Genomic DNA, 27,843 nt, shown 5'->3' on the forward strand with positions numbered 1-27,843 from the left:
AAATGTATGACTTTTTATCTATATTCTTATTTTTAAACCTGTAATTTACATAAAGTTCTCTTCATTCTCTCTTCCATAAGGTAAAATACAATTTTGTTTACATGAAAGGGGAGAATGTGCATATTTTTAAAAAATCTGCCATCAATATCTTTAAAATAAAGTTCTAATAAAGTAGGTATATGAGAACCCTATGATAATTATGTAAACAAAGTGCTTATATATGTAATAGAATTGTATATGTAATTATATGTAAAATATAATTATGTATCTCAAAGTGTTGGTATTATATCTATGAGCAATCATACGTGGCCCAAAATCATTGTTTTAGTAAATTTCAGTGAGTGACAACAGGTATACAACTTAATGAAATCAGAAAAACAATTCATAAAAAACAAGAGAAATTTTAGAAATAAATAGAAATCATAAAAAGAAGCAAACAGAAATTCTGAAGCTAAATAATACAATGAGTAAAATTTAAAAAGCAGTAGACAACATCAACAGCAATCTGAAATATTCTGTGAATTCAAACAGGCATTTGAAAACAATCACCAGAGGAGAAAAAAGACAAAATAGAATGCAAGAGAATAAAGAAAGCCTGTGGAATTTATGGGACTCCATCTAGAGAGTTAACATTTGTGTTATAGGAGTGAGATAGGGTAAGAGAGAGAAAAAGAGATAAAGAGCTTTTAACAATGGCTGAAAACTTCCCAAAGCTGAGGAGAGATACATGCATCCCGGTACATGAATCTCAATGGTCCAAACAGGTTCAACCCCAAGAAAACTTTACCAAGACATAGCATAGTCACACTTTCAAAAACTAAAGATAAACAGAGACTCTTGAAAGCAACAAATGATTTTTTTCTCACATACAATTTTTTTGTCTTTTTTTACAGTTTTTTATTCAAAGTATATTTTATCTGATATAAGTATAGCTCTCTTTGGTTTCTATTTGCATGGAATTTATTTTCTATCCATTTACTTTCTGCCTCCATGTGCTCCTAAAGTAATTCTCTTGTAGCGAGCACAGAGTTGGGTCTGACATTTTAAAATTGAGCTACTGGTTTTCTTTTGACTTACATTTAAACTAATCATTGATAGGTAAAGACTTACTGTTTCAATTTTATTAATTGTTTTCTGGCTGTTTTGTACATCCTTTGTTCCTCTTGCTAGATTATTTTGTGATTTGATAATTTTCTATGGTGGTATGCTTTAATTCCTTTCTATAACTTTAATGTATATATTATAGTTTATATATATGTTATATATATTATTACATATTATATATTATTATATATTACCTATTATATATATATTATTATATATTTATATATCTATTATAGTTTATATATAGTTTATATATACGTTTATGTTCCCCATAAGGCTGTCAGTGGAATCTTTCAGCAAGAAACTTTGTAGCCCAGGAGAAAGAAGAATGCTACATTCCAAATTCTGGGGAAAAAAAAAAAGCATGCAACTAATAATACTATCTTTACTGGGCAGGGCTGTGCATGAAAAATAAATAAAACTAAAGACCTTCCCAGAGAGAGATAAAGCTGAGAGAACTCATCATCACTAGACCTGTCTTGCAAGAAATACTAAAGGCAGTTCTTCAAGCTGAATTAAAAGGATGCTATTAGTAGCATGAATATATATAAAACATAAAACTGGAAATCATCCTTCTCAGTAAACTATCGCAAGAACAAAAAACCAAACACGGCATATTCTCACTCATAGGTGGGAACTGAACAATGAGATCACATGGACACAGGAAGGGGAATATCACACTCTGGGGACTGTTGTGGGGGGGTGGGAGGAGGGAGGGATAGCATCGGGAGATATACCTAATGCTAGATGACGAGTTAGTGGGTGCAGCGCACCAGCATGGCACATGTATATATATGTAACTAACCTGCACAATGTGCACATGTACCCTAAAACTTAAAAGTATAATAAAAAAAAAAAACATAAAACTCACTGGTACACAGGTAAAATTAAGTAGGTATTCAAATGTTAAAGACTCTAATACTATAATAGTGGTGTGAAAATAACTTACATCTTCAGTACAAAGGTTAAAAAACAAAAATATTAAAAATAACTATAACTCCAATAATTTGTTCATGAATAAACAATATGAAAATGTAAATAGTATCAAAAATATAAAATATGTGTGGGGAAGAAAGTTGTAAAGTTATTGTATGTGATCAAAGTTAGGTTGTTACCAGCTTAAAATATAAGATGTTCTGGTAAGCCTCATAGTAAATACGGAGAAAAGAACTATAATATATACATAAATGTTATAGAAAGGAATTAAAGCATAGCACCATAGAAAACGATCAAATCACAAAATAATCTAGCAAGAGGAACAAAGGATGTACAAAACAGTCAGAAAACAATAAAATTGAAACAGTAAGTCTTTACCTATCAATGATTAGTTTAAATGTAAATCAAAAGAAACTCAGTAGTTCAATTTTAAAATGTCAGACCCAACTCTATGCTCTCTACAAGAGAATTACTTTAAGAGCACACAGAGGCAGAAAGTAAATGGATATAAAAAAAAATGCCATGGAAATAGAAACCAAAAAGAGCTATACTTTTATATCAGATAAAACGTACTTTAAATTAAAAAACTGTAAAACAAGACAAAAACCCTTATTATATAATAATAGAAGTCAACTCTTTAAGAAGATATAACAATTGTAAAAATATGTGCTCCCAACATTTAAACAGTTAAGCATATAAAACAAATACTAATAGATGTGAAGGGAGAAATAGCAGTAAAACAATAGTAGAGTACTTCAATTACCGACTTTAAACAAAAATAGATGAGTCATCTGGAAAGAAATTGAACAAGAAAACATTGGACTGAAAGTATACCTTGACCAAATGGACCAACAGATATATACAGGAAATTTCATCTAGCAACAGCAGTACATACATTCTCCTCAAGTGCATATGGAACATTCTCCAGGATAGACCACGTATTAGGCTACAAAATATGTCCTAACAAATTTAAGAAGATTGAAGTCAAATTAAATATCTTATCATTATGACTCTGGTATGAAATGAGAAATCAATAACAAGAAGAACCTGGAAAATTTACAAATATGTGTAAGTTAAACAGCATTTCCTGATAAAATGATATATCAAAAAATAAAAACTTAAAAAATATTTTGAGACAAATATAAATGGAAACAAACTTTATTAGAGTTTATGACAGCAATTCTAAGATATAAATTTATTACAATAAATACCTATATAAAAATAACAAATACACAATCTAACACTACTTTTCCTCAAGGAATTAGAGAAGAAGGAACAACTAAGCCCTAAGTTAGTAGTCAAAATGAAATAATGAATATCAAAGCAGAAAAAAAATAAAATTGAGACTATGGGAAAGTGGAAAATATCGATGAAATTAAAAGATGGATTTTTAAAAACACATAAACAAGATCAACAAACCTTTAGCCAGACTAATACAAAAAGAGTAAAGACTGAATAAATAAAATCACAAATAAAAAGGAGATATTACAACTGATACCATAGAAATACAAAGGATCATAAGAGGCTACAATGGAAAATTGTATACCTGCAATTAAGACAGCCTGTAAGAATGGATAAATTCCTAAAATCATATCTCTACTGAGACTGAATCACAAAGAAATAGAAAATCTGCTCTGATCCTTAAGTAAGGAAACTGAATAAGTAATATCAAATATGCATCAGAGAAAATCCTAGGACCTGATGACTAGCTGGTAAGTTCGAACACACATTTACAAAAGAATTAACCAATCCTTCTCATACTCTTTCAAAAAATTAAAGACAGAGTACTTCCAAACTCATTAGTCCAACATCACTCTGACTCCAAAGCCAGACAAAAACATTACAAGAAAAGAAAATTCCAGGCTAACATTTCTGATGAACATCGATGGAAAAATCTCCAACAAAATATTAGCAAACCAAATTCAACAGCACATTAACAGAATCATTTGCCAAGATCAAATGAAATTTATCCCTGGTACGCAAAGATGATTTAATATATGCAAATCAATAAATATGATAAATCACAATGACAGAACGAAGAACAAAGTTACATAATCATTTCAATATATGCAGAAAATATTTGGATAAATTCAACATGCTTTTATGGTAAAAACTCTCAATAATTTAGGTTTAGAAAGAGTGTACCTCAACACAATAAAGGCCATATATGACAAACCCACAGCTAACCTTATACTCAGAAGTGAAAAGTAGAAAGCTATTCCTCTAAGATCTGGAACCACACAAGGACTCCCACTCTTGCTACTTCTACTTAACTTTGTACTGGAAGTTCTAGCCAGAGCAATTAGGAGAGAAATGAATAAATAAAAGGCATCTACATCAGAAAGGAAGAAGTAAAATTATCCCTGTATGTAGATGGCATAATTTTATATGTAGAAACCCAAAAAGACTCCACCAAAACACCTGTTAGAACTTATAAGGAAATCCAGTAAATTTGCAGGATAACCAATATATAAAATATAGTTGCATTTTATAAGCTAATAATGAACTATTCAAGAATTAAGAAAACAATCCCATTTATAATATCATTAAAAGAATAAAATACTTAAGAATAAACGTAGTCAATACAATGAACTAAAAATTATAAAATATGGATGAAAGAACAAAAAGTTTGTGTACAGCAAAAGAAACCACTGACAAAATGGAAAGTCAACTTATGGAATGGGAAAAATATTTGCCAACCTTATACCTGATAAGGAGTTAATATCTAAAATATTTAAGGAGCTCATACACCTCCATAGCAAAAAGCCAGATAACCCCATCATAAAATGAGCAATGGATCCAAATAGACATTTTTCCATTTTCCAAAGAAGACATAGAAATGGCCAACAGGTATCAAAGCACTCAATAAAACTAATTATAAAGAAAATGCAAATCAAAACCACAATGAGAAATAACCTCCTGCAGTAATCTTCCCTGCAATAGGTGAGGAAAACACTTTATGTAAGTCAATATCACCCAGGCTTAGCATTCATTACTTAGAGGGCTTCTTAAACTGCAGATTTCTGAATCCCTCCCCTTGTTTCTATGAATTAGTCTGTCTGGGTTGGTACCAGGGAATTTGAATTTTTAACAAGTTCCTAAGTTATTATTTTATTTTTAAAACACAAATTTATTATTTTACAGTTCTGCATGTCAGAAGTCTAAAATGAGTCAGCAGGACTGTGTTCCTTTTGGAGGCTCTTGGGGAGACTCTGTTGCCTTACTTTTTTTTCAGTAGAAGGCATAGTGGCTACTTGCATTCTTTGGTTCATTAATTACCCCATTTTCAAAGCACAGTGTCTCCTAATATCTCTGTCTCTCTCTCTCCCTCTCTCTCTCTCTTTCTCTCACACACACACAGACACACACATGCACACACACACACACACATGCACACCCTCTCTCATACCCTCTCTTTTTCACTCTCACTCCTGCTTCTGTCATCACATCTCCTTCTCCGATTCTGACCCTCCTGCCCTTCTCTTGTAAGGATCATTGTGATTACACTGAGCCCACCAGGACAATCTTTCGAAGTCCTTAACTTTTGATATGTACTGTAATGAATTCAGAGATTCTCAGAGTGAGGACATGGATATAACACAGTTTTGAAATATTATATTTGTAGGTACAGAGGTAAATTGGAAGCAAAACTAAAAAATGTTTTCCATTTAGCTCTGACTTTTAGTGAAACAAGCAACTACAAAACCTTGGCAAAGTCAGTAGACACATTTGAACATTTACTTTGTTGTAATAGAGGGATTGATCTAGTTATTTCTAAAATATCTAATAATTCTTCATGTTGTGATTATGTAACTAGAGGCTACCTCTGATTTTTTATGACAGTCATAGGTAAAAATAGATGTTGAGTTTTAAAATACAGATAGCACAAAATTCAGAATTAAAAAAAATCAGTACATAAGTATAGTTTCTTTCATGAATAAATTGTATAATTAATTATGCTACGTTTGTCTAAAAGTATTATCCTTCTTTTAGGAAAAAACATGGGATAAAATATAGTTTAGATGATACCTAGCATATAATCAGGCATGTAGAGATCTCAGGATTTAAAAAGAAATATCAAATGAAGTGCAATAAATTGTGTTTTTTGTATAGATCCTTCGAGTCGTATCTCAGAAAAGAGAGAAATGGCTTATCCAATATTTAAGCAGAGACAAATGGCATATGAAGAGGACTTATCAGGGCAGTGGAGAGAATTGGTGATGAAAATTGGTAGGGGGTGAGTAAAACAAGTTTGAGACTTTGTAAATTTTTCCCTAGATTGTGGATTTCTAATCAAAATTCAAATGGAAAAAGGATTCCATCAAAGAATCTAATTCAACATTGGTAATACCATTCACAAGGAGAAACACAGTGACACTTTTCATTTACTAAAATTTGTTTTACTAAATTTCTTAGGGGGATGAATCTACTAAACAACATTCAAGGCTGTTAGTTTAATCATGTCTGTTTATTAATGCAGAATACATGGTTTCAGTGTTTCTATTCAAATATATGTCAATGTGAACTTTGCTGTAACAGCAAACTGGTGTTTTCAGTATATTTTAAAATTTATTAATCACCACTAGAGGGCAGGGTTATTTCTCAATATTAGTTCCCTTATTGATGAAATTAACAAAATAATTACATCATACTTATATTTCTGTTAACTTTTTTGAAAGACAATTTCTATATGACGATATTTTTGGGTTAATCTTATTCTAATGATTTCTTAAGATGTCCTTTTAAAAAAATCTCAAATTCTATCCTACTTCACAAATTCTCTTAAATATATTAAACATTTAAAAAATTCATAGTCAATGGACAGATACCATTTTGAACTTAACTGTGAAACCTTGTCCCTACTAAAAATACAAAAAATAAGTATACAGGAAAACGATACAAGAGTGAAATTACAATATATTAAATATTAAATGTATATTAAATTATATGTAACATATTAAATATAAATAATACTGTTAAAATATTATTTTGAATTCAACATGGCATTTTTTAAAAATTACTGGCCATTTTGTTAGGCCCCAAGAATAAAAATGATAAGACAGTCTGTTTTAGATATGATTCTGTTTTAGAAATCTTTTACTTCCCTTTGCAGAACGAAATTATGTGCTTCTGTACTTCCAACTCAGATTGTAAAATATTATGTTAGAATTACTCACATGCGCTATCCCCTCTCTGGACTTGTGAACTCCTTAGGCACTGATTCAAGATTGTGTCAACACTTTATCCCAGAATGCAGACTTGACCTGCCATATAGTAGATAAATACTCAGTAGAAATTGGTGGCTATACTATAATGATGGTAGAAAAAAAAACAATGAAAATTTAATTATTTACTATGATAATACCTTACTGTGTTTTATTTTATCTTGCTCAATTTCATATCAATATAATATTGATTTTAAAACGATATATGAGCTGGGTGGGGTGGCTCACGCCTGTAATCCCAGCACTTTGGGAGGCTGATGTGGGCAGATCACTTGAGGCCAGGAGTTTGAGACCAGCCTAGCCAGCGTGGTGAAACCTCATAACTACTAAAAATACAAAAATTAGCTGGGCATGTGGCACATGCCTGTAATCCCAACCATTTAGGAGGCTGAGGCAGGAGAATCGCTTGAACGCAGGAGGTGAAGTTTGCAGTGAGCCGAGATCACACCACTGCACTCCAGCCTGGATGACAGAGTGAGACTCCATCTCAAAAAAAAAAAAAAAAAAAATGTATGGAGAAGAGTGAACCAACAATAACTTGATTATCAATTAAGGTGGATTCAGTAAGCATTTCTTGAGGACCTAATATGTTCCTTGTATTATGCTCAGTGGTGGGCATAACAAATTGAATAAAAAGTTTATGCCTTTAAAGGACCAGTGAATGGAAAAGCAGATACAACTGATAATTCTAATCTTTGTAATTAAACATCTTGGCCAACTTATAATTGGTCTTCAGGTTGACTAAGGTAGAAATGTCAAGAAATGTCAAGTTTGGGGCAGAATATGGAGAAAAGGGACCCCTATTACACTATTGGTGGGAATGTAAATTAGTACAGCTAAAATGGAAAACAGTAAAGAGGGCCTCAGAAAACTAAAAATATAACTACCACATAATCTAACAATGCCACTACTGAGTATATATCAAAAAGAGATGATATCGGTTTATATTTTAAAATGCAGAGTCTTCAGAAACTAAACTTTTCTCCCACATATTTATGTTAATGTTCAGCTTTATACTGATTTATCAAAATTATAGACAATTAATATGAAGATGCATTAGAAGTAGTAGTCCATAATGATTACTCTAAACAGGAAAGGAAGTAAAAATTAATGGGACTAAGCAGATTGGGAAAAAACATATCAGTGGATTAAGAATGCAAAACTTTCTTATTAAAGGAGTAGTAATGTATATGGAAAATAACAAAAGGACAAGGAAAGATAAAATAGTATAATTAGAGAGAGAATGAGACTTTGTGTTTCAATGTTAATCAGCTATCTGATTAAAAGAAGAAAAAAGTACTTATCATTGCTACCAGGATATTCCATGGAGTAAGAGCTACCTTCTGAGAGTGACTTAGATCTGTCTGCTCACATTTATATAAGCACTTTATTCTCACTTTCCATTTTACCACATTGTTTACCACCAGCAAGAATTAAAACTGATGTATATCCTCAGGGACTTGCTATCTTAAAGTGTGGGTATCTATCTATCTATCTATCTATCTATCTATCTATCATCATCTATGTTTTATACTTATATAAGATATGTTTACTGATATATAATTAATTATATGTATATGAGACAATCTTGATAAGACACTCAGTTTCTTTACTTCTTATGCATTCTCCCATTGTAAAAATGAAATGATTACTTCTCTGAATTTTGCAACCCTTCTTATTGTTTGCAAACACTGAGAATGATTGGCAATGTCCTTGAGTAACTTTACTAATACAGGAGGGTAAATATTTAGAGCAATATATAGGGATTTAGTCTGTGATCCCCATTCTTGTAAAGTAATATAAATATTTACAGTGCATTTATCCCACAGTGTCTGTCCTAGGAGTGAATATAACGAAACAATAAAAACTATTTTTTAAAAAATAGTTATCTGCAGCCTTCACTCTACTTACATTTAAATTTGTGACTTAAATAACACAATGTAGAAGATATTAAGGCTTCCTAACATCTCAGAATTCAGTAAAACATAATCAGTCTAAATATGGCCAACACTCCCGAATGAGAGATAAATATGAAATTAGGGCTATGAGTAATTTATAAATAGTTTGAAGAAAAAATGTACATTTTTTAAAAGCCCAAGTGGAAAAATAGAAAAGTGGTTAATTATATTTCTTCACCTTATTCCCATAAGTGTAGAGAGTCAAGTCAGCATGACAAATTTAACATTTTTTATTAATACAATATGTCATATACTCTGCTAGCGTAAAAATGCAAGTAAATTGACCTTAAACCATCCTGAAGATTTAAGGTCCATCGGAAGTTTTAAAGTAAGAAGATTTAAGGTAAATCAATCTGAAGTATCAGATTAGTAGAAGAGTAAGATGTTGTAGCATAACCTCTGTTTTAAGGCTAACAAAATTATATCATTTTTGCTTTCTCTCTGTTTTATTCACAGTACTGATTTGAAAAAAATTAAAAAGCTCTGATTTTGAATATAAGGAAACAACATCTTCTCAGAAACTAGCTAAGACACTGATATTACTCTTCTTGCTATGAACTTATCTGCTCTTGAAAATATTTCTGGTTCCCCAACTTGGCTGTGTTGGTATCAGTTCCATTAGGTTAAAAACAAAGCAAAACAAAACAACAACAACAATAAAAAAAACTCTCATAAAAGTTGCTTGCAGTAGTATGTTCTGTAGAGTATTTCACCTTGCTTGGTCTGGTTCAAGGAGCAAAATGGGAATCCTATCCTACCAAATGCCTTTCCAACTCACTCATAGAGAAGCCTCTTCTGTGCATTAATCCACTATGTGCTCATCACTACTGTTGACCTTGAAGAGGTTAAAATATGCTATTCTGGCATATTGGCTATTTAAGTTTAAAGTGGTTTAAAAAACAATACGTACAAAAGATCACTTTGACCTCTGTGCTGTCTCTCAAAAGCAGAAGATAAAATTCCCATGTGAAAGACGCCCTCCCTTTACTAGAAAGATGCAAAATCTTTATATTCAAGGATGAGAAGTCAAAACTAAAAACTATGTAAAGATCTTGTTAAAATACCTCTTGTCTTTTAAGCCTCCCACATGATTTAGTTGCTTCTTCGCAACTAACTATTCTTTGTCCAATTCAGTGTTTAAGTAACTGACCCTAACTGCCTCTTTGGGTCTTTATTTCCTTATGAGAGCTTCCATGCCCTGTAAAATTTGTATTACACTTTTATCTTGTTAATCTATCTAATGTCAATTTAATTCTCAGATCCAGCTGAAACCCCAAGGGGACGAAGGTGGAATTTTTTGCCCCTAGACCTACTCTTTGCACCATATTATATTTGTTTATATAGCTACTTTCCCCACTAGACAGTAAATTCCTTAATATAGGGAGTATGTCTTAAATATATGTATCCCTAATACCTTACACTATTTTTGACACCAAATTCTCCTCGAAATAAATCTTTGACTATTTAAATAATTTTCACCAAGGTTTATATGTATTCATAACCCTATCCTGAATGTGTTAGAAAACATGGCTTAGTTAAGAACTTGCATTTATATGAAAATTAACATTCCATTGAATAAATCTAATTGTCTCTTGTTTGACACTGAAGACTATCTAAATAAAATTCCAAGCCATTCTATACTGTTGTAATTCAGGTTTTACATAGTCAATTATCACATAAAACAGTTTTGCACAACTAACTCTCATGGGATTTCAATTTTCAAAATGTTAACCAGAGATACCACTTTAGTTTTCCAGTGAAATGATCCATGGCATAAAATGTGTGTGTGCATTTACATGTGTGTGTGCATGTTTCGCCCAGACAGAATTATACATAATATTTAAATTAATAAAAAAACAGCATATTTCTCTTCCAATAACAGAATAGGGAGAAAATGTTATAAAAGTTAACTTATTACAAAACTATTTATTTACTAGGAGAGAAAAACGTAAATACATCAAATAGACACACCTATTTTTTAGCTTTAGAGAAATGAGTTAGGGGCCAGGTATAGGGCACTGAAACTGCCTAAGCCAGTAAAGAGACTACCATGTGATTTAGCATAAAACACAAACATACCTACTCACCAGACATTGCTTTGTAAACAGTACTTACCGCTAAAAGAAACTAGGACTCCCTGAAGAAATGGTTGATTCCCAGGTGACGGCAGGGAAATTTCAGATGAGCCTAAACATCTTATTATATTAAGCCAGAAAGTAGAAATTCCTTTATTTTTCAGATATAAAGAATACTGTTTTAAAGAATCATAGGTAGGTATCAAAAGGGCACAGGGCCTAGCTTAAAGGAGATTACATTTCATTAAATCTGGGACAGTGTGGACATCAAAATAAATACAGAGTAATGAATTATGGCATAGAATAAAGCAAGAATCCATGAGTCTATACTTATGTGAAAAGGTAACAAATCTTTTGTAAGAAATGGGACATTGACCTAGTCTCAAAATATCTCCCCACTAACGCTTACTAATTATAAGACTTAAAAAATGAGTAGAGAAGCCTATCAAACACCACTTTAATTGAGCATTAAAGTGAATATTACCAAGTAATAGAACAAGTAGAATTTGTGCCTCCAGCAGATAGGAATGTCTGGGAACACAGCATCACTCCTGTAGTATTCCTTACAAAGATGCCTAGTCTGAATGTAATAAAAAAAATTTAGGCAAATCTAAATATAATGACATTTTGTATAATAACTGACCTGTAGTCTTCCAAAGCACTAAAGTCATGAAAGACGGTGTGAGGAGCTATTCCAGATCAAAAGAGGTTAAAAAATAAATGCAACACTTATTTTTGAACTGGATCTTTTTGGTATAAGGAATATTTGATAGGATGGAGGGTAGTTGGCAAAACTTGAATGGGGTTTGAGGATTAGATGTTTGCAATATATTTTTCTATTAATAGTTTTTTATTTCTGTATATGTGGTCCACTCTCAGCCTAGTGGCAGAAAGCCATAATGACTTCATAATGCTCATAAATCCTGTGGGTTAAGAAATTGAAAAGGACTCAGTGGAAATAATCTGATTCTGTTCCATGATACTGGGGGCTTCAGCTGAAAAAGCTTGCGGGCTGAAAGCAGGAATCCTCTGAAGGCTTGCGAAGTACAGGTCTAGTGGTTGAACTTGGACCTAAATAATGGACCTAAAGTATTTAGGCTGTTGGCTTAGAACCCAGAACTCACTTCAGAATCTCCACATTGTTACATGGGCTTCCTCACAGCATAGTGACTGCATCTCAATAGCGAGTGTATTAGGAGAATCAGCTAAAATTCTTTAAACTATTTATGCATTAGCCTCATAAGTCTCAGAGCCTTCCCAGATTCAAGAACAGGAAATAAAGACCTTCTCACCTTTCCTTTTCCAGGTCAAAACCACACATTTGATAGCAGGAGGATGAAACTCACTTTGTAATAAGAGCATGCAAGACAGAAGGGAGATTGAGTTGCAGTTGTTTTTAGAAAATAAAATCTGTAAATCAAATACTGCCTGTTCTCACTTATTAAGTAGGAGTTAAAAAATGGGTGTACATGCACACAGAGGTGAAACAATAGATAATGGAGACTCCAAAAGGAAGGAAGGAGGGAGGCGGAAGGGAAGGGTTAAAAAACTACTTATTGGGCACAATGATTATTATTTGAGTGATGGGTTCAATAGAAGCCACACTCCAAAATTAGGCAATATACCTATGTAACAAACTTGCACATGTACTCCCTGAATCTAAAATAATTTTTAAAAACAAAATAAAATAAAATTTCTGTCATTTGTAATTATAATTATTTTGAGAGTGGTGCTGTGGCTTTGTAAGATAGTGACCTCATATGTAGGAAGTCCATACTTAAATATTCATGGTCAATGAGGCATTATGTTGACCACTTACCCACAAATAGTTCAGAAAAAAAAAATGGAAATGTCTTTTTCTTACATACTTTTGTAAGTTTTTAATTGTTTTAAAACAAAAAAGTACAACAAATAAATAGCTAAAAATATAAATGGAGGTTATCAGGAGGACCTGATTTACATTACTTTGCAAAATAGAAATCGAGAAAGTCAGGTAAGAATACACCTGCATGTGTGTTAAGCTACAACCTGAGGCTGTGAATATAAGGCTTTAGTTAAATATGAACATTTGAATCAGATGCTCAAAGGTAATCAGCCATAGACATATCCTGTTTCTTACTTCACCTTCACCAGGGTATTTAGAAATTCATGGAATAATTTTTTATTTTCACAGTAAATGGGAGGCACTGTTGGAATTTAGTGGGAACTGTAATGGCAAATATCCCGTTCTTGGTACATCAAGAATTGTGTATCCAACATGATGCTACTAACACTTCCTTCAAAATAAACTGCTGGTATGCATAAGTGAATTAAGCAGGAGAGTTACATAAATATATCGTAAACAAGTAGAATAATATTCTTTAGAACAGTAGAAATAAAATATAACATTGTTTTATATGATGTGAGATAATGCATTAATAATGGAAATAGAATTACAACTGATAATTGGATTATCTAGTCTCAAAAGGTAGAGTTTGGTATCACAGATATTTTTGTTGCCACAGTGATATTAGTTGTGTAAGACACTAAAGACACAGGTTTTATGGACAGATCTGGTCCATATTACTTACTGGTTAGTAACCTTGGACAAATTACTTACATTCTTCAAGCTGTCTTTTTATTTTTCTGTAAAACAGGACTAATAGTCTATAGTATTCTTGGGAGACAATGAACCTAAAGTATTTAGCACAATAAATTCTTCATATTTAATAGAGGCCAGGCCTTGTGGCTCAGGGCTAAAATCCCACCACTTTGAGAGGCTGAGGTGGACAGATTGCTTGAGCCCAGGAGTTCAAAATCAGCCTAGGCAACATGATGAAATCTTGTCACTACAAAAAATACAAAAATTAACCAGATGTGGAAGCACACCCCTGTAGTACCAGCTACTTGGGAGGCTGAAGCAGGAGAATCACATGAGCCAGAGAGGTTGAGGCTGCAATAAGCCATGATCACACCACTGCATTCCAGCCTGGGCAACCCAGTGAGACCCCATCTCAAAAACAACAACAGAAAACTATTTTGTACATAGCAAACATTAATAATGATAGTATTGCTAGTGTTGGTGGTAACAAAGATTGTAGGAATAGTAAATAGAAGACTTTCTAAGTTTCATCTACCAAGGGGAATTTCACTATTATTGTCTAAACATTTCAGAGTATTCCTAAAGGGGGAAATTCGGAGTAGGATTTCAGCTTCTACTTCCAGTAGAAACTTTAAAAGAATTCATGTAAAGAAAGAAAATTCTTTTTATCTATTTCACAGAGAACATATTGAAGTTTTAAATTTAATGTAAATGCAGGAAAGATTGAAGAAAGTATTTTTCAGGTTAGAAAGACAGAATTGAAGAATCACACATCAAATCTATCTTCCTAGGTATAATGTTTATATTACTTTAAATTCCCAAGTGAGGCTGGATGCGGTGGCTCACGCCTGTAATCCCAGCACTTTGGGAGGCCAAGGTGGGTGGATCACGAGGTCAGGAGATCGAGACCATCTTGGCCAACACGGTGAAACCCCATCTCTACTAAAAAATAAAAATAAAAAAATAATTAGCCGGGCATGGTGGTGGGCGCCTGTAGTCCGAGCTACTCAGGAGGCTGAGGCAGGAGAATGGCGTGAACCCGGGAGGCGGAGCTTGCAGTGAGCTGAGATCGTGCCACTGCACTCCAGCCTGGGCGTGGGAGTGAGACTCCGTCTCAAAAAAAAAAAAAAAAATTCCGAAGTGAAAAGGAAATTATAATTGATATCAGAATATACTTTTTATCCTCCAGAGCTGGACTGTCCGGTGGAAATATAATGAGAGCCATATATTTAATTTTAACTTTAGTAGTATTTACATAAAAAGTAAAGTTAAAAAGATGAAGCTAATTTTAACATTTTGTTTAACCCAACATAATCAAATTATTTCAACATGTAACAGATATTTAAAATTATTGAGTTTTTAAAATATTCTTTCTTTTGGAATGTCTTTAAAATCGAATGTGTATTTTACACTTAGCTATGTCTCAGTTGGACTAACTGCATTTCAAAAGTGCTCAATAGCCACGTATTTTGTGTGGCTGCTATATATAACATATATATAACATATTATATATGTATATATATAAAACATATGTATAACATATTATATATGTGTATATAAATCATATATATAACATTATATATAACATTATAAATAATTATAACATATTATAAATAAACATATATATAACATAATTTTTTTTAGTTATTTCTGTTATCCACATATTTGGGGAATATATTGTATCAAATAAACTTTTTTAAGCCAGTCATTTAATTTGAATACATATGAATAAAACAAATTTTTTTTCAATCTTAGAACCCTTGGAATTGTATATCTCTACAAATTTGAAAAAAAATATTATTTTATCAGTGCCTAATTGTTTTCATCTCCATTAGCCTTAGTAGTCTCCCAAGCATTGTGTGTCTGCGTGTGTGTGTGTGTGTGTGTGTGTGTGTGACCACTCTGGATTCTATATCATCTTCCTCTCTGAATGACTAACACTTTAGTTTTACTTCCAACTTTAAAACCAAATGAAATTTAGTACTTCAATTTTTCTCTGTGGCTTCTAACATATTTCTTCTGTTCTGAACCAGTGGAGAATAACGACAGGCAGTAGAATTTCTCTATGCCCTAAACCATCCTCACTTATTCTGCTTACTGCATCAGAGATTCCCTAACTGAAGTCTCACATGTTCCCTAGAAATTTAACAGTAAACAGAGCAATACTCAATGTACTCCACCCATCAATTCATATACACACAGCTAGTTACTCAACCAGGGCTCATGGTGGGGGTAATGAAGTGTTTCCTTTGCATCCCAGAAATAGACACAAATTTATTTCAGAGCAATGAAACAGACACTTTTGCCAAAAGAGCAGTTTGTTTTCAAGACTTTTCTTGACTGGTGTCAATGCTGTTACTGCTTTTCCCCTCTCTTAGCTTGTGACTATCCCCAATTTTGAAAATATGTGGCTCCTCTAAATGCTATATTTGAAAAAACAAGAAGCCCTTATTATGTGACTCAAAATAATAGAAATCCACTTTTTTACTTAACATTATGTGCCCTAGAAATTTCCTGATTATCCTTTTTCTAGTTAGATTTAGCTAGGACTAGATAGCACCTTTGATTATTAATTGGAAAATAAGGCAACGTCTACTTTTCTTGATGCATTTAGACCAAGAGAACATACAAAATTCAGACATGAAACACAGAATTTTGGTATAAAAATTAGTGTTGGGAGGTTGATTTCTATAGTTGATAGAACAGGTGAAGCAAATCAATAGTCTATCTGAATGTTCTATTTTCATGAGAAATAAATCTATTGCTCATTGGGATAAGTAATCTTAAATAAACAATTGTATTCTGCTCTTTAGAAAGCTCCCTTTCTCTTTGTAGTCCACTTATTAATAGGACTAAAAACAGTAAAATATTATTTTTTTCAAATATATATTATTCTCGATGGCTGCCTCAGTTTTCATCTTGTATTGTTTCTATTTGTAAAGTTTGTACTGGTACTCCAGGCAAGCAGAATGACATAGTCACCTAAAATTATTTCTTTAGCTACTTGTATTCAAGCACCTAGAAAGGGAAAAACTACATGACAAGTGGTTGCTACCATGAAACAGTTTTGTAAAAATAAGCAGTAAAATTGAGTTGGTTCATTGCTTATAAAGTGCAGTGAAAAAATCATGCGGGAAAATGATATGCTCAAATGATAAATCCATACCTACTCAAGTTCAAGGGATTAGAAAACCTCTATGAATTTTCTGTAAGAAACTCTTATTTCTTATGGCTTCATGGTTGAGATTTCAGAAAACTAAACCCAAAGTCTATTCCTACGAATAGCTGAATTATAATACAAATTGGATTATCCTGTTCATAGGATTCCTAATGTTAGATATAGGGCATTGTTAGGGAAGGACTTAATTTCTGAGAATTGGGATGAGAACATAGAGGCGTATTTCCATGAAGCTGGAGACCTTAAACTGGTACATTCTATTGAACCATATTTGACAGTGGGTGTAGCCTTTTTCCCTCTCCCAGGAAGTTAGGCTTCCCTTGCTTGAAGAACTTGAAATGCCTATTTTTAAGGGACTGTTTATCCTCCTCAGAGGGATCATAGCCTCTAAACCTATAGCTAGACTTATGTACCAATTGGCCCCAGAGGATGAATTACGAAGTATGAACAACTGGTACTTTAATACACACCAAAGTAATTGCATTATTTTTTCAATTTCTATAGACAGAAGCCTGGGGAACACTATGTGGAAATGGGTCCTAAGGGTATTGGGTTCAGTTGGAAAGAAAATAATATTTGATGAGGTTGAATTTATTGACGTGAGAATCTCATTTGCATCTATTAGCTCAAATGGCAAGGAGAGGTTCCAAAGTTTACTGCTGACTGGCATATGGATCCAAATGAAGTCTGCATAGGAAAACTGAAATGCCAGAACTTTCTGGGTGTACAATAGAGGAAGTTGTCCAAAGATATAGGGAAATTTAAATGAAAGACTGGATTTATTACGTAAAAGTTTCCTGCTGTCCTCTCAATATATTCTCTTTAAGAGTCTATTAGAGAAGATACTCCTCCTTCATAAAGGTCATCAGAACATTCATGAGGGGAGGTTTGAAGATTTGTGTTAAGGCTCTTTATTCTTGACGAATATTGTTGTATTTGTTCCCTGTGATCTACAAATGAAAATGAGAAATGCCACCATCGTGGGAAAGGTCCCTTTATGCAATAGAGAGGATGAGATATCAAGGTGGCTACAGCCAAATGAGGGCTTCAAATTATCAAAGACACATAGGTGCTGTTAATGGACACATAGTTGCAGTAATCCGAAAAGTCTTATCTGAAGACATATTTGGCATTGACTATTGGGTCATGTTGCCCTATATGGATGGCCTATTAAAGATATTTCTGATTTGTGTTAGTTGAATAGCTCTAGGTCTGGTGAGCAGAAGTCTGACTTGAATTATCATGTATAGGTTTGGTTCCTCAATCAATTCCCTGATTATGCCATTTCACTGGCCCAGAGCACTTTGAGTGAAAGGGTGGTTTGTGGTGGTTTGTTCCCTTAGAGGATGGATAATGCTACAAAGCCAAAATGTTTTATCCTTCCTCCTGACTTTCCCTTATGTGACCTCTGAAGACATTTCCCAGAGTCTTTGCATTGGAATAGGGAAATTGTCAGAATTTAGAATAATTACCAAACACAAGATCTGCACTGATATTAATTCCTAAAGATCAAAAATTTCACTGCAGTTTACTGGTCATAGTAGGAGCTTATGGAGGTCAACCATCATGGGAGTTTTGCCTTAAATCTATATGAAATGAGTCTACAGCACTGCTACATTGCCGTCTACATTTTAGCCTGCACTATGAGTTCTCAGGTAGTTTCCTATTCTCAGTTGACTGAGGAAAAAAAATGTTCAACCCCAGTTTATAGATAAAAATGTGTGCTATGCAAAAATAGATGTTGGCAGCCTTGCGGTACAACTACATGATAGCCCTGAAGGGTCATGATGATGGCAAACCCCTCCCATAGGCAGAACTCCAAGAAATGTGCTCAGTTGGTTATTTTGTCTTGAATATATCTTTGTGAGAGTTATGGATCCCCAGATATACTTGCAAGCAGTGGCTAAGAACTTTGCTAAATGTTCAAAGATTGAATGAAGGGTAATTGACAACTGGTGACAAGGATGACTAGAGAATATATGTGTATGTAAATAGAGCTTTCTGAATGGTTACAGAGTATGAAGATGTTTGTACCCCAAGTGAATCTCACCAAACAGTAATCTCTTATCAGAAGATAATTTTAATAAGTATGTGAACAAGGAAACCCAGTGCGTGGATGCCATGCTAGCTTCTTACTCCAGCCAACCCAGTCATTTCCCAATGAACTCACGAATAAAGTGCTCATGCCATTGAGACAGAGCTTAAGTATGGCTCAACACTATGGTCTTCTATTTTCTAAAGGTTATCTCACTATAACTATTGCCAAGTGGTCAACATGCCAAAAGTAGAAACTGACATTGAGATCTCATTATAGCTCCATTCCCTAAAAGAGAATAGTAAGGTGTCATATGTCATGTTGATTGCATTGGACCATTTCTATCATGGAAGGAGCAACACCTTTTTTTCTCACTGAGACAGACACTTAATATCTGTATCTGCCTTTCTTGTCCATGATGCTTTTGCCAAAATCTATGAACTTACAGAATTCCTCACTCATGGAATTCAAACAGTGTTTCAAAGAAAGTGAAAGGAAGAAATTTGCATATATTCATGGCATTCACTTATCTTACCATTTTGCTCATCACCTTGAAATAGCTTTCCTGACAGAACAGTAAAATGTCCTACTGAAGTCTATGCTGGGACACTGTGGTAATGTTACTCAGGCTAAAGTGTAAACTTTAAATCAGTGATTACTCTATGGTTATGTTTTTACCATAGCCAGAATTCACAAGTCCAGAAGTGAAAAGGTGAACAGTGAAGTGTCGTTTCTTACCCACCATTGTGATCCAGAAAGGTTTGCTTCCCATCCCTGCAACTGTGGACTCTGATGGTCTTCTTATTCCTGTTTCTAAAGGAAAAGGATTCTTCCAAAAGATAAACCAATAGTTTTGTTAAGCTTAGAGTTGAAATTTCACATAGATGTTTTGTGCCCTAATGCTAGTGAACCATCAGGGAAAAAAGAACCTTAGAGACAGGTAATTTATTGTGACTCTCAGGAGGTATTGGGGTGCTGCTGCACAATATGGGTGAGAATGGTCAAGTCTGAAATGAAGGAGATCTCATGAAATGCCTCTTAGAGCTCTTATCCTTGCTGATTAGAGTCAACAGACAGCTAATCTGATGGGACAGAACTGCAAATGACCCAGACCATTTAGAAATGAAGTTTCGGGACAACACACCCTACAGGAAATAATGACTATCCAGAAGAATATGGAATGGCTAGTGGAAGAACTTTGGCCCTGACCAGTTAGAGCAATATGCACTGCAATAATTATAAACATTTATTTTTCACTTTCATATTGTCTGTGTATACATGTATCGATGTATTTCCCTCTCCTATTCCCCTATCATATAGCATTGTATGTGTTAGTAGTAGGATTTTTTTATAATTTCAGTGTTTAAGTTTTAATATACAAAACAATATGACTAATTTAAAAGAATAACTTATTTTTGAAAAGCAGCGACCTCTTTTGGGGAGCATGGTTGGCAAGTTTTCAGTTGTACGAGGGGTCATTTCGCCTATTAGGCAAAAGCATGGTTTGTTCTTGTCTTTATTTAGAAGTTATTTGCTTAAAGAAAACTGTGTGGGTTAAATTTTGCCAAAGAGTAGATTTTAGTGAATTTGCATTTTATCAGGTTACCTAAGCTAGGACTACGTTTTCCCTAGTTGTCTTTATTGTGTAGTTTGCTGTTAGTATTGTTACAAGACACATTTGATTGCTTTCCAAAAGGCATAAGAGAATCACCAGCTGTACACTTTTATACTCTGAAACCTGTGCATGGTACCACAATAGCTTTAGAATGTTGTTGTCACTGATCTAGAGCTCACCTTGCTGCTCGTAACATCTGGACCTCTAGCTCCTGCAAATCTTCTTCAAAGTCTCTGAGTCCTAAGCCAAGTGCACATGTAGCTCTGTGGTGAAAGGCAGCAGCTTTCATAACAAGTCTCCAATAGCTTCAAAGTAAGAGGTGGGAGAAGACAGATATTTCATCCTTTTGGGTTCCAATTTGCTACTAATCTTTTTCATATCCAGATTTTATTTTTAATTACTGTCTGGCCAAGCTATAATGACTTTAGATTCAACGCTAGACACAGGAGCATTAGCCAGCCAAAAATGTCCCATCAACTCCCATGGTTGCTTAGAGTCTAACTTTTGTAAATCATTTATTCTATACCCTTCACCTTGGTTCTCCTTTTCTTTGTACCATGACTGTTACAAATGCTACATAGAAAGACAGTGAAAGTTGCAGCTTGAGCTTCAGAAATTTGATTTGTGAAACATTCATTTAAACGTGCTGAAAGTTTAAAAATGACCAGGTTAACTACAGACCTGCTTGGAAGGTATTCCTGCCCCTTGAGAAAAAGTAAGAGGAACAAATGAAATCAGAGTTAGCTGATCGTAACCTATATTTAAAACTAATAACGAAAAAAGGAGAAAAAGTTAAAGAGAAAAACCAAATTTTCACAGTGGAACTGGCTAAATTTTGACTGTAACTACTTTCTGAATGATAGTATATTTCCATCTTCATTTTTTTCTTTGACAGTCTATTATAATTCACTTTTTTTTAGATCATAGAAAAAATTTTAAATCATAATCCACATGTAAAATGTATTTGGAGGGTAACACTTCCAAGTGTGTGTTCTACTTTGCAAAGTGACACTCATGTAACAGAGACTGTGAATAGCTTGGCCAGGCTTCTTTAGATCAACTTATTGAAAAAAAAAAAAATCCCACAATGCATTCCCAGTGCTGTAACCACATTGTTGATACAGATCTCACTGACTTTGTTCTGGTAGCTCCTCTAAATGTTTAGAGACACTGAAATTACCTTTATCTTTCCCAATTGATATTGGCATGTCAGATCTCATTTCAGGAATAAGCTTGACAACTATGTGGCTATATCTGTGGATTTTTTAAATTTAATTCTTTCTTTGTCTCTCTACTTTTCTTTCTCCTTTGTTGGGTCTTTTACTGCAGACTTTTAATAATGCTAAGGAAGAGTTCATTTGCTGCTTTCCATTTCTTTTTTAATTACTTGAAATTTTACACCCTGACACAAAAATTTGTACCATCATTTGAACTCAATGTCTTCATGCATAATCTGAGAAAATTTAAGCAAACAGAAAACAAACAAAAAAAAAACAATAGAAATAATTCAATTTTTAAAATCTCTGCACAGATTTCTTTCTACAAAGAATATTACATTTAAAGATTAGAAATCAGAATATATCAATGTGACCTTGGCCTCATTAAGTTTGCAGTAAGATGTCTGTTTTGTGATACAAGTAGTTTTACATCATTTTCAAATTAGATATGTTTTTCTCCTTGCAAATAGGGCTTGTTTTTCCTTAAAATGTAACCCCAGTGATCTATACTAAATGTTTTGACAGTAAGTTCTGACATCATTTCATCTTCCTTTCTTTTAGACCAAAAGCACAATGATGCCTTTCTTTTTACTCACATTTGATGACATCCATAGTGAGAAACAGCAGTTCCACTGTCCAACACCAGGAAATGTTCTGACTGTTTCACCGCTCCAGCTAATACTTACAGAGGTGTGGCCTATTCCCACTTGTATTGGGGGCTTTAGAATCTGACTCCTTACATTCCTAAGATTAAAAGACATCTTGTGCTGTTTTATGTTCTGAGAAGGATTGATTACCACAAAGACAGATCTATAGGTATGTATGGGTAAGTGAAAGGCTGACAAACAGCATGAGGCATAATCACTTTTATGGTTAGGAATCTGATATGCTGCCAGCAGAGACTGTTCAGTTCACACTTCCATTTCCTTTTAGCCTTGATGCTTGGGTATGGTGTAGGTAAAATGAGGGTTAGACTGTAAATGAAAATCTTTTATAAGAAAAGGAAAGCTTATTGATGAGCTGCTTCAATCATATCTTTTTGTAGATAAGAAAACTGAGGCTAATGGAAGTGAAATGATGGATAAAATCTTAGAAGAAATAGATGACGGCTAAAAATCTCAAATGGATAGGAAAAGCTACAAGGAGTCTGGATATTCTCAGGACTGTTATCTGAAAGACTGCATGAAGCAGAACTCATGTGAAGTGTGCCTAGTTACAGACATACAAAGACTCACTCCCTTTCCCTTCAATGACAGTGGTGATCCTGAAAGAGCTTCCACTCACACAGGTCCATAGCTTCCTTCCCCCCTTTGACCTGACACTGGGATATGAAGAGGAAGGATTGGTTTCTTCACTGGTATTCTGAGAACAACCTTATGGATGTCTGAGGGTAGCATAATCTGGCAGTCCTAGGAGCTCAGGTACTATCTAGGATGGCAGACTGCTGTCATTTCAAGCTTTGATCCAAATAACCAAGTCCCTAATTAGCTTCACACAATTGCTCTTTCATTTATCCTCAGTTATCTTTAACATGTCATATGATTTCCTAAAAATCACTGTGTTATACAAAGTCACACACACAATAAAAACAATAGGGCATATGGGGAAAGATGGAATCAAGAGCATGCCTTAGTCAGTTTGGGCCAACATAAGGAATTATCATAGACCGAGTGGCTTAAACAACAAATATTTCTTTCTTACAGTTATGGAGGTTAAAAGTCTGAGATCAGGGTGCCAGAAGTGTTGGCTTCTTGGTGAGGGGTCTTTTCCTGGTTTACAGATAGTTTTCTTCTTGCTGTGTCCACACAGGGTAGAAAGAGAGTAAGTTAACTCTCTGACCTCCTCTTCCAAGGACTCTAATTCTATTCATGAAAGCTCACAACGTAATTACCTCTCAGAGGCCCAGCCTCCAAATAACATCAGGATGGGTACTAGATTTCAACATACAAATGGGGGGAGGGGCACAAACATTCAGTTTATAATAGAACACAATAGTCAAAATAATGTAATAAATAAATAGAAGATAATAACCTAATAGAAATGGTAGCAATAATTGGGGCATGGTGGCTAATGCCTGTAATCCCAGTACTTTGGGAGGCCGAGGTGGGTGGATCACCTGAGGTCAGGAGTTTCAGACCAATCTGGCCAACATGGTGAAATGCCCTCTCTACTAAAAGCACAAAAATTAGCCAGACATGGTGGTGTGTGCCTGTGGTCCCAGCTACTGGAGAGGCTGAGAGGGGAGAATCGTTTGAATCCAGGAGGCAGAGGCAACAGTGAGCTGAGATCATGCCACTGCACTTCAGCCTAGGTAACAAGAGGGAGGAGACTGTCTCAAAAAGAAAAAAAAAAAAGCAGGAAAGAGAAAGAGAGAAAGAGAAAGGAAGGAAGGAAGGGAGGGAGGGAGGGAAAATAAAAAAGAAAGAAAGAAAGAAAGAAAGAAAGAAAGAAAGAAAGAAAGAAAGAAAGAAAGAAAGAAAGAGAGAAAGAAAAGAAAAGAAAAGAAAAAGAAGGAAGGAAGTAAGAAAAAGAAAGAAAGAAATAGGGAGATGGAAAGGGAAAGGAAGAAGGAAGGAAGGACAAAAGAAACAGTAGCAACATTTTACAAATGTTAAATGGTTAACAATGCTCTTTCATTTATCCTCAGTTCTCTTCAACATGTCATATGATTTCCTACGTGCTACAATACTACAATAATATTCCATGTTTCTTTAAAACCATCGGAAATTTGCTTGTGGAAATAGGTGTCAGTTTGGGGCTTATTGTAAAGGTGTAGCAAGAGGATTATTAGAAATTTGACAGAAAGTTTTAATCACAGATGTGATTGACTGTGGCTCATACCAAACGCAGTACACCAAGGTATCTGGGAGATGCTTGAGTTATGTATATGTGTGCATTTTTTGTGGTCCCCTACAGCTCAGTTCAGTTGAGTACTATTTTGTTCATTTATCCAGTATTTCTAATGGACAAAGTCAAATATAAGCAAATGCAGTATTTCTACTATGCTTTTTTTCCTAAAATATCAATTATCTTAGAACCAATTTTCATTTTTAAAACCAGCATTATAAGAAAACTGACTATAATTAAAAATGAGTCTTTAGTGTGCAAGAGTTACAAATTTTGCCTAAAAGGTCAAAACTTTGTTAAGGAAATAGACATTAAATAAATCATCAATTGAAGTATGATGAGATTTTATGAAACAGAACTACAAAACATTACAGGAATAAATGCAGGGGTGCTTATTTGGTCTGGGACAGAGATGGGCACTCTGGGCCTATGGAATTTACACTGAGACTTTAAGTGTATGCAGGAGTTGGGGAAGTGAATGAACAAAGATAGTGTTACTGGCAGAGAGAAGATCAAGTTTCAGAGCTTCAAGGCAAAATAATGCAGCATGTTCTAGACAACAGATGGAAGTTTAGTAATTTTGCAATATAATCTTAAGAGAAAACTAGCAGCAAATGGGGTAGTAAATTTAGAAGGGGCTGAGATAAATATTACACATAAGCATCTATGAAAAGGAGTGAACTTCATTCTAAAATCAGTGCATACCTTTAAGTCTTTAAACAAAGAAATATTAAATAAACTGTTTTAATTATCATGTGTATAGTTTGGAGAACAATTTGGATTACAGCAAGATTAGAAACAAATGTGGCAGAGTTTATCAGCTGATAACACACAACAAAAAAGCTTTCTTCTAAGAACAGTGCTACATTATTTTCCAGGCTTCCTTCACTTGATTCAGGGAAGTGACCATTTTATTTTATTTTTTTCAAAGAGAATGTGAGTGGAAACTATACGAGCTGCTAACGGGACAAGGCATTTAAGAATCATCCGAGTTCTGCTCTTCTTGCTGGCTGGAGGTAAATACCATTGTGGAGCCACAATATGGAAAGAGGCTGGGCCCCCAAACTGCTGCATGAAAAATAGCTGCTTGCAAACCAAGAACACTCAACTTGGATTTTTATTGATATAATGCTTTTGTTGTGCTTGAGTCATTGTACTTTGGGGTATAAGTGGAGGATCTTTCTTTTCTTTTACAGCTAAGAATTCAAGAACAAACACCAGCAAAGAGATTCAATACAAATATCCAATTTTGAGATAAGGGATGGATAACCATAGTGTGAGTTGAGCCACAGAAATGTGGATGAATTCAATAAATATTTGGATGATTGTTTAACATTACTTCATAATTGATGGGAATAAAAAAGTATAACAAAGAGAAGAAATCAAGGCTGCAGCATGACAAAAGGTTTATATTTTAACTTCAAGAAATCACACATACTCTGTTTTTTCCTCTACTGAAAGATTAGACTAACAATCCAATTTACCTGGACAAAATAAGCTTCTGGGAGATTCTGAAAGTTTGTTATCTTCCTTATCCTTGCCTTTTTGTATTTGAGAATTATATCACCATTCTCACCATTCTAGGATGTTTTCACTAATAATTTTTGAGATTTAATTTATAAATATCAAGCTTCCTGGTTCTTGAAACCTACCCATAGTTAACAACTGATTCCTAGTTCTAGGGTTAACAACTGATTCCTAGTTTCAGGGTTTTCCTGAATATTATCTTTATGCCAGCTTTATAGCATTTTGGAAGGCTCATTTATCCCACATTATGATATTCTCCTGCTTTCAATTTCTCTGTGTCTTCTCGTTTCTCTTAAGGCTAAGCTGGACATTGCAAACAGGATAGTCTCTTCTATCTTGCCCAGCCTTTTCTCCTATCCCATTTTTGCATTCTCTCTATTCTCTGATCACAGAATTGTTTTCATTTCTGAAGGTACAACTAGTGTCACATCTTATGCACATGCTGTTCCCTTTACTAGGATTATACTTTTCCCTTAAATTATCTACCCTTTGCTTGCTTTATTCTGACTTAACTTCAGATTATGGCTCAAATGTATTTCCTCATAGAATTCTTCCTTGACACCTCATAATAAATAAAGTTCACCATATTAAATGCTTTCTTCTCTCCCTGTACTTGTTTCTTTTTAAAGATATTGTTGTTTATTAACTACCTGTGTGATTATTTAATAATACCTTACTCAACATTTCCTCAGCTCCCTGAGGTCAGAGATTATGTATTTTGCTCTCCATGGCCTTCCTAACATCAAGCACAGTGACTAGTAAACAACTGGTTGTTACAGATATCAACAGTCACCTATCTGGCACCCATTTCTCACATATGCTGATTGACAGAGCCCCTGTTTGATTCAGGTGTGCATGATACCCATGAACGACTCCGGGACTATATTTCTCATTTCAACTCCTGAAGTAATTTTTGCTTGATTTAAACTGATTGTTATGAGCCAATTCCTTTTGTAAATGATTGGCTTAGGCCAGGTATGCAAAACGTTCTGTCTGAGAAGACTTGAAAATCTACTTGGAAATTTCTAGGAAAGCTTTCCTTGCTCTTAAAATGTGATGCATAAAAAGAAACAGTACTGCTTCTGAATCCTTCCTGAGTTCATTAGGGGAGCTAAGTAGAGATGACATGGCCGGAAGATGTAAAACATTCAGGTGTCGATTAACATTATTAAGCTACCAAATTAGTCCATTTTAAAGGTACATTACCGTAAAAACTTTATGTGACGGCCGGGCGCGGTGGCTCACGCCTGTAATCCCAGAACTTTTGGAGGCCGAGGCAGGCGGATCACGAGGTTAGGAGATCCGGTCCATCCTGGCTAACACGGTGAAACCCTGTCTCTACTAAAAACACAAAAAAGTAGCCGGGCTTGGTGACGGGCTCCTGTAGTCCCAGCTACTCGGGAAGCTGAGGCAGGAGAATGGCGTGAACCCGGGAGGCAGAGCCTGCAGTGAGCCGAGACCACGCCACTGCACTCCATCCTGGGTGACAGTGAGGCTGCGTCTCAAAAAAAAAAAAAAAAAAAAAAAAAAAAAAAAAAAACTTTA

The 27,843-nt window shown here is 34.3% G+C and overlaps 3 long non-coding RNA genes across 3 annotated transcripts in view; 2 read left to right on the forward strand and 1 right to left on the reverse strand.

Annotated features, from left to right (window-relative positions):
• The window catches only part of LINC01677 (long intergenic non-protein coding RNA 1677), a 100,630-nt gene extending 88,241 nt beyond the window's left edge, over window positions 1-12,389 (reverse strand). The window contains exons 1-3 of the long non-coding RNA NR_146609.1: window positions 11,942-12,389; window positions 11,339-11,418; window positions 7,218-7,348 (exon numbers count right to left, since the gene is read on the reverse strand). This is a non-coding gene — a long non-coding RNA (long intergenic non-protein coding RNA 1677). The remainder of the gene's footprint in view (window positions 1-7,217; window positions 7,349-11,338; window positions 11,419-11,941) is intronic.
• On the forward strand, window positions 12,283-12,720 carry LOC124904595 (uncharacterized). The gene is made up of 2 exons (XR_007067036.1): window positions 12,283-12,348; window positions 12,605-12,720. It is a non-coding gene; the product is annotated as an uncharacterized LOC124904595 (long non-coding RNA).
• Window positions 12,721-22,485: 9,765 nt separating this feature from the next.
• Window positions 22,486-26,894, forward strand: LOC107985116 (uncharacterized). Its single transcript, XR_001738170.3, has 3 exons — window positions 22,486-22,740; window positions 25,703-25,787; window positions 25,968-26,894. It is a non-coding gene; the product is annotated as an uncharacterized LOC107985116 (long non-coding RNA).
• The last annotated feature ends 949 nt before the right edge of the window (window positions 26,895-27,843 follow it).

This window comes from Homo sapiens, chromosome 1, assembly GCF_000001405.40.
Source record: "Homo sapiens chromosome 1, GRCh38.p14 Primary Assembly".
Classification (NCBI taxonomy): domain Eukaryota; kingdom Metazoa; phylum Chordata; class Mammalia; order Primates; family Hominidae; genus Homo; species Homo sapiens.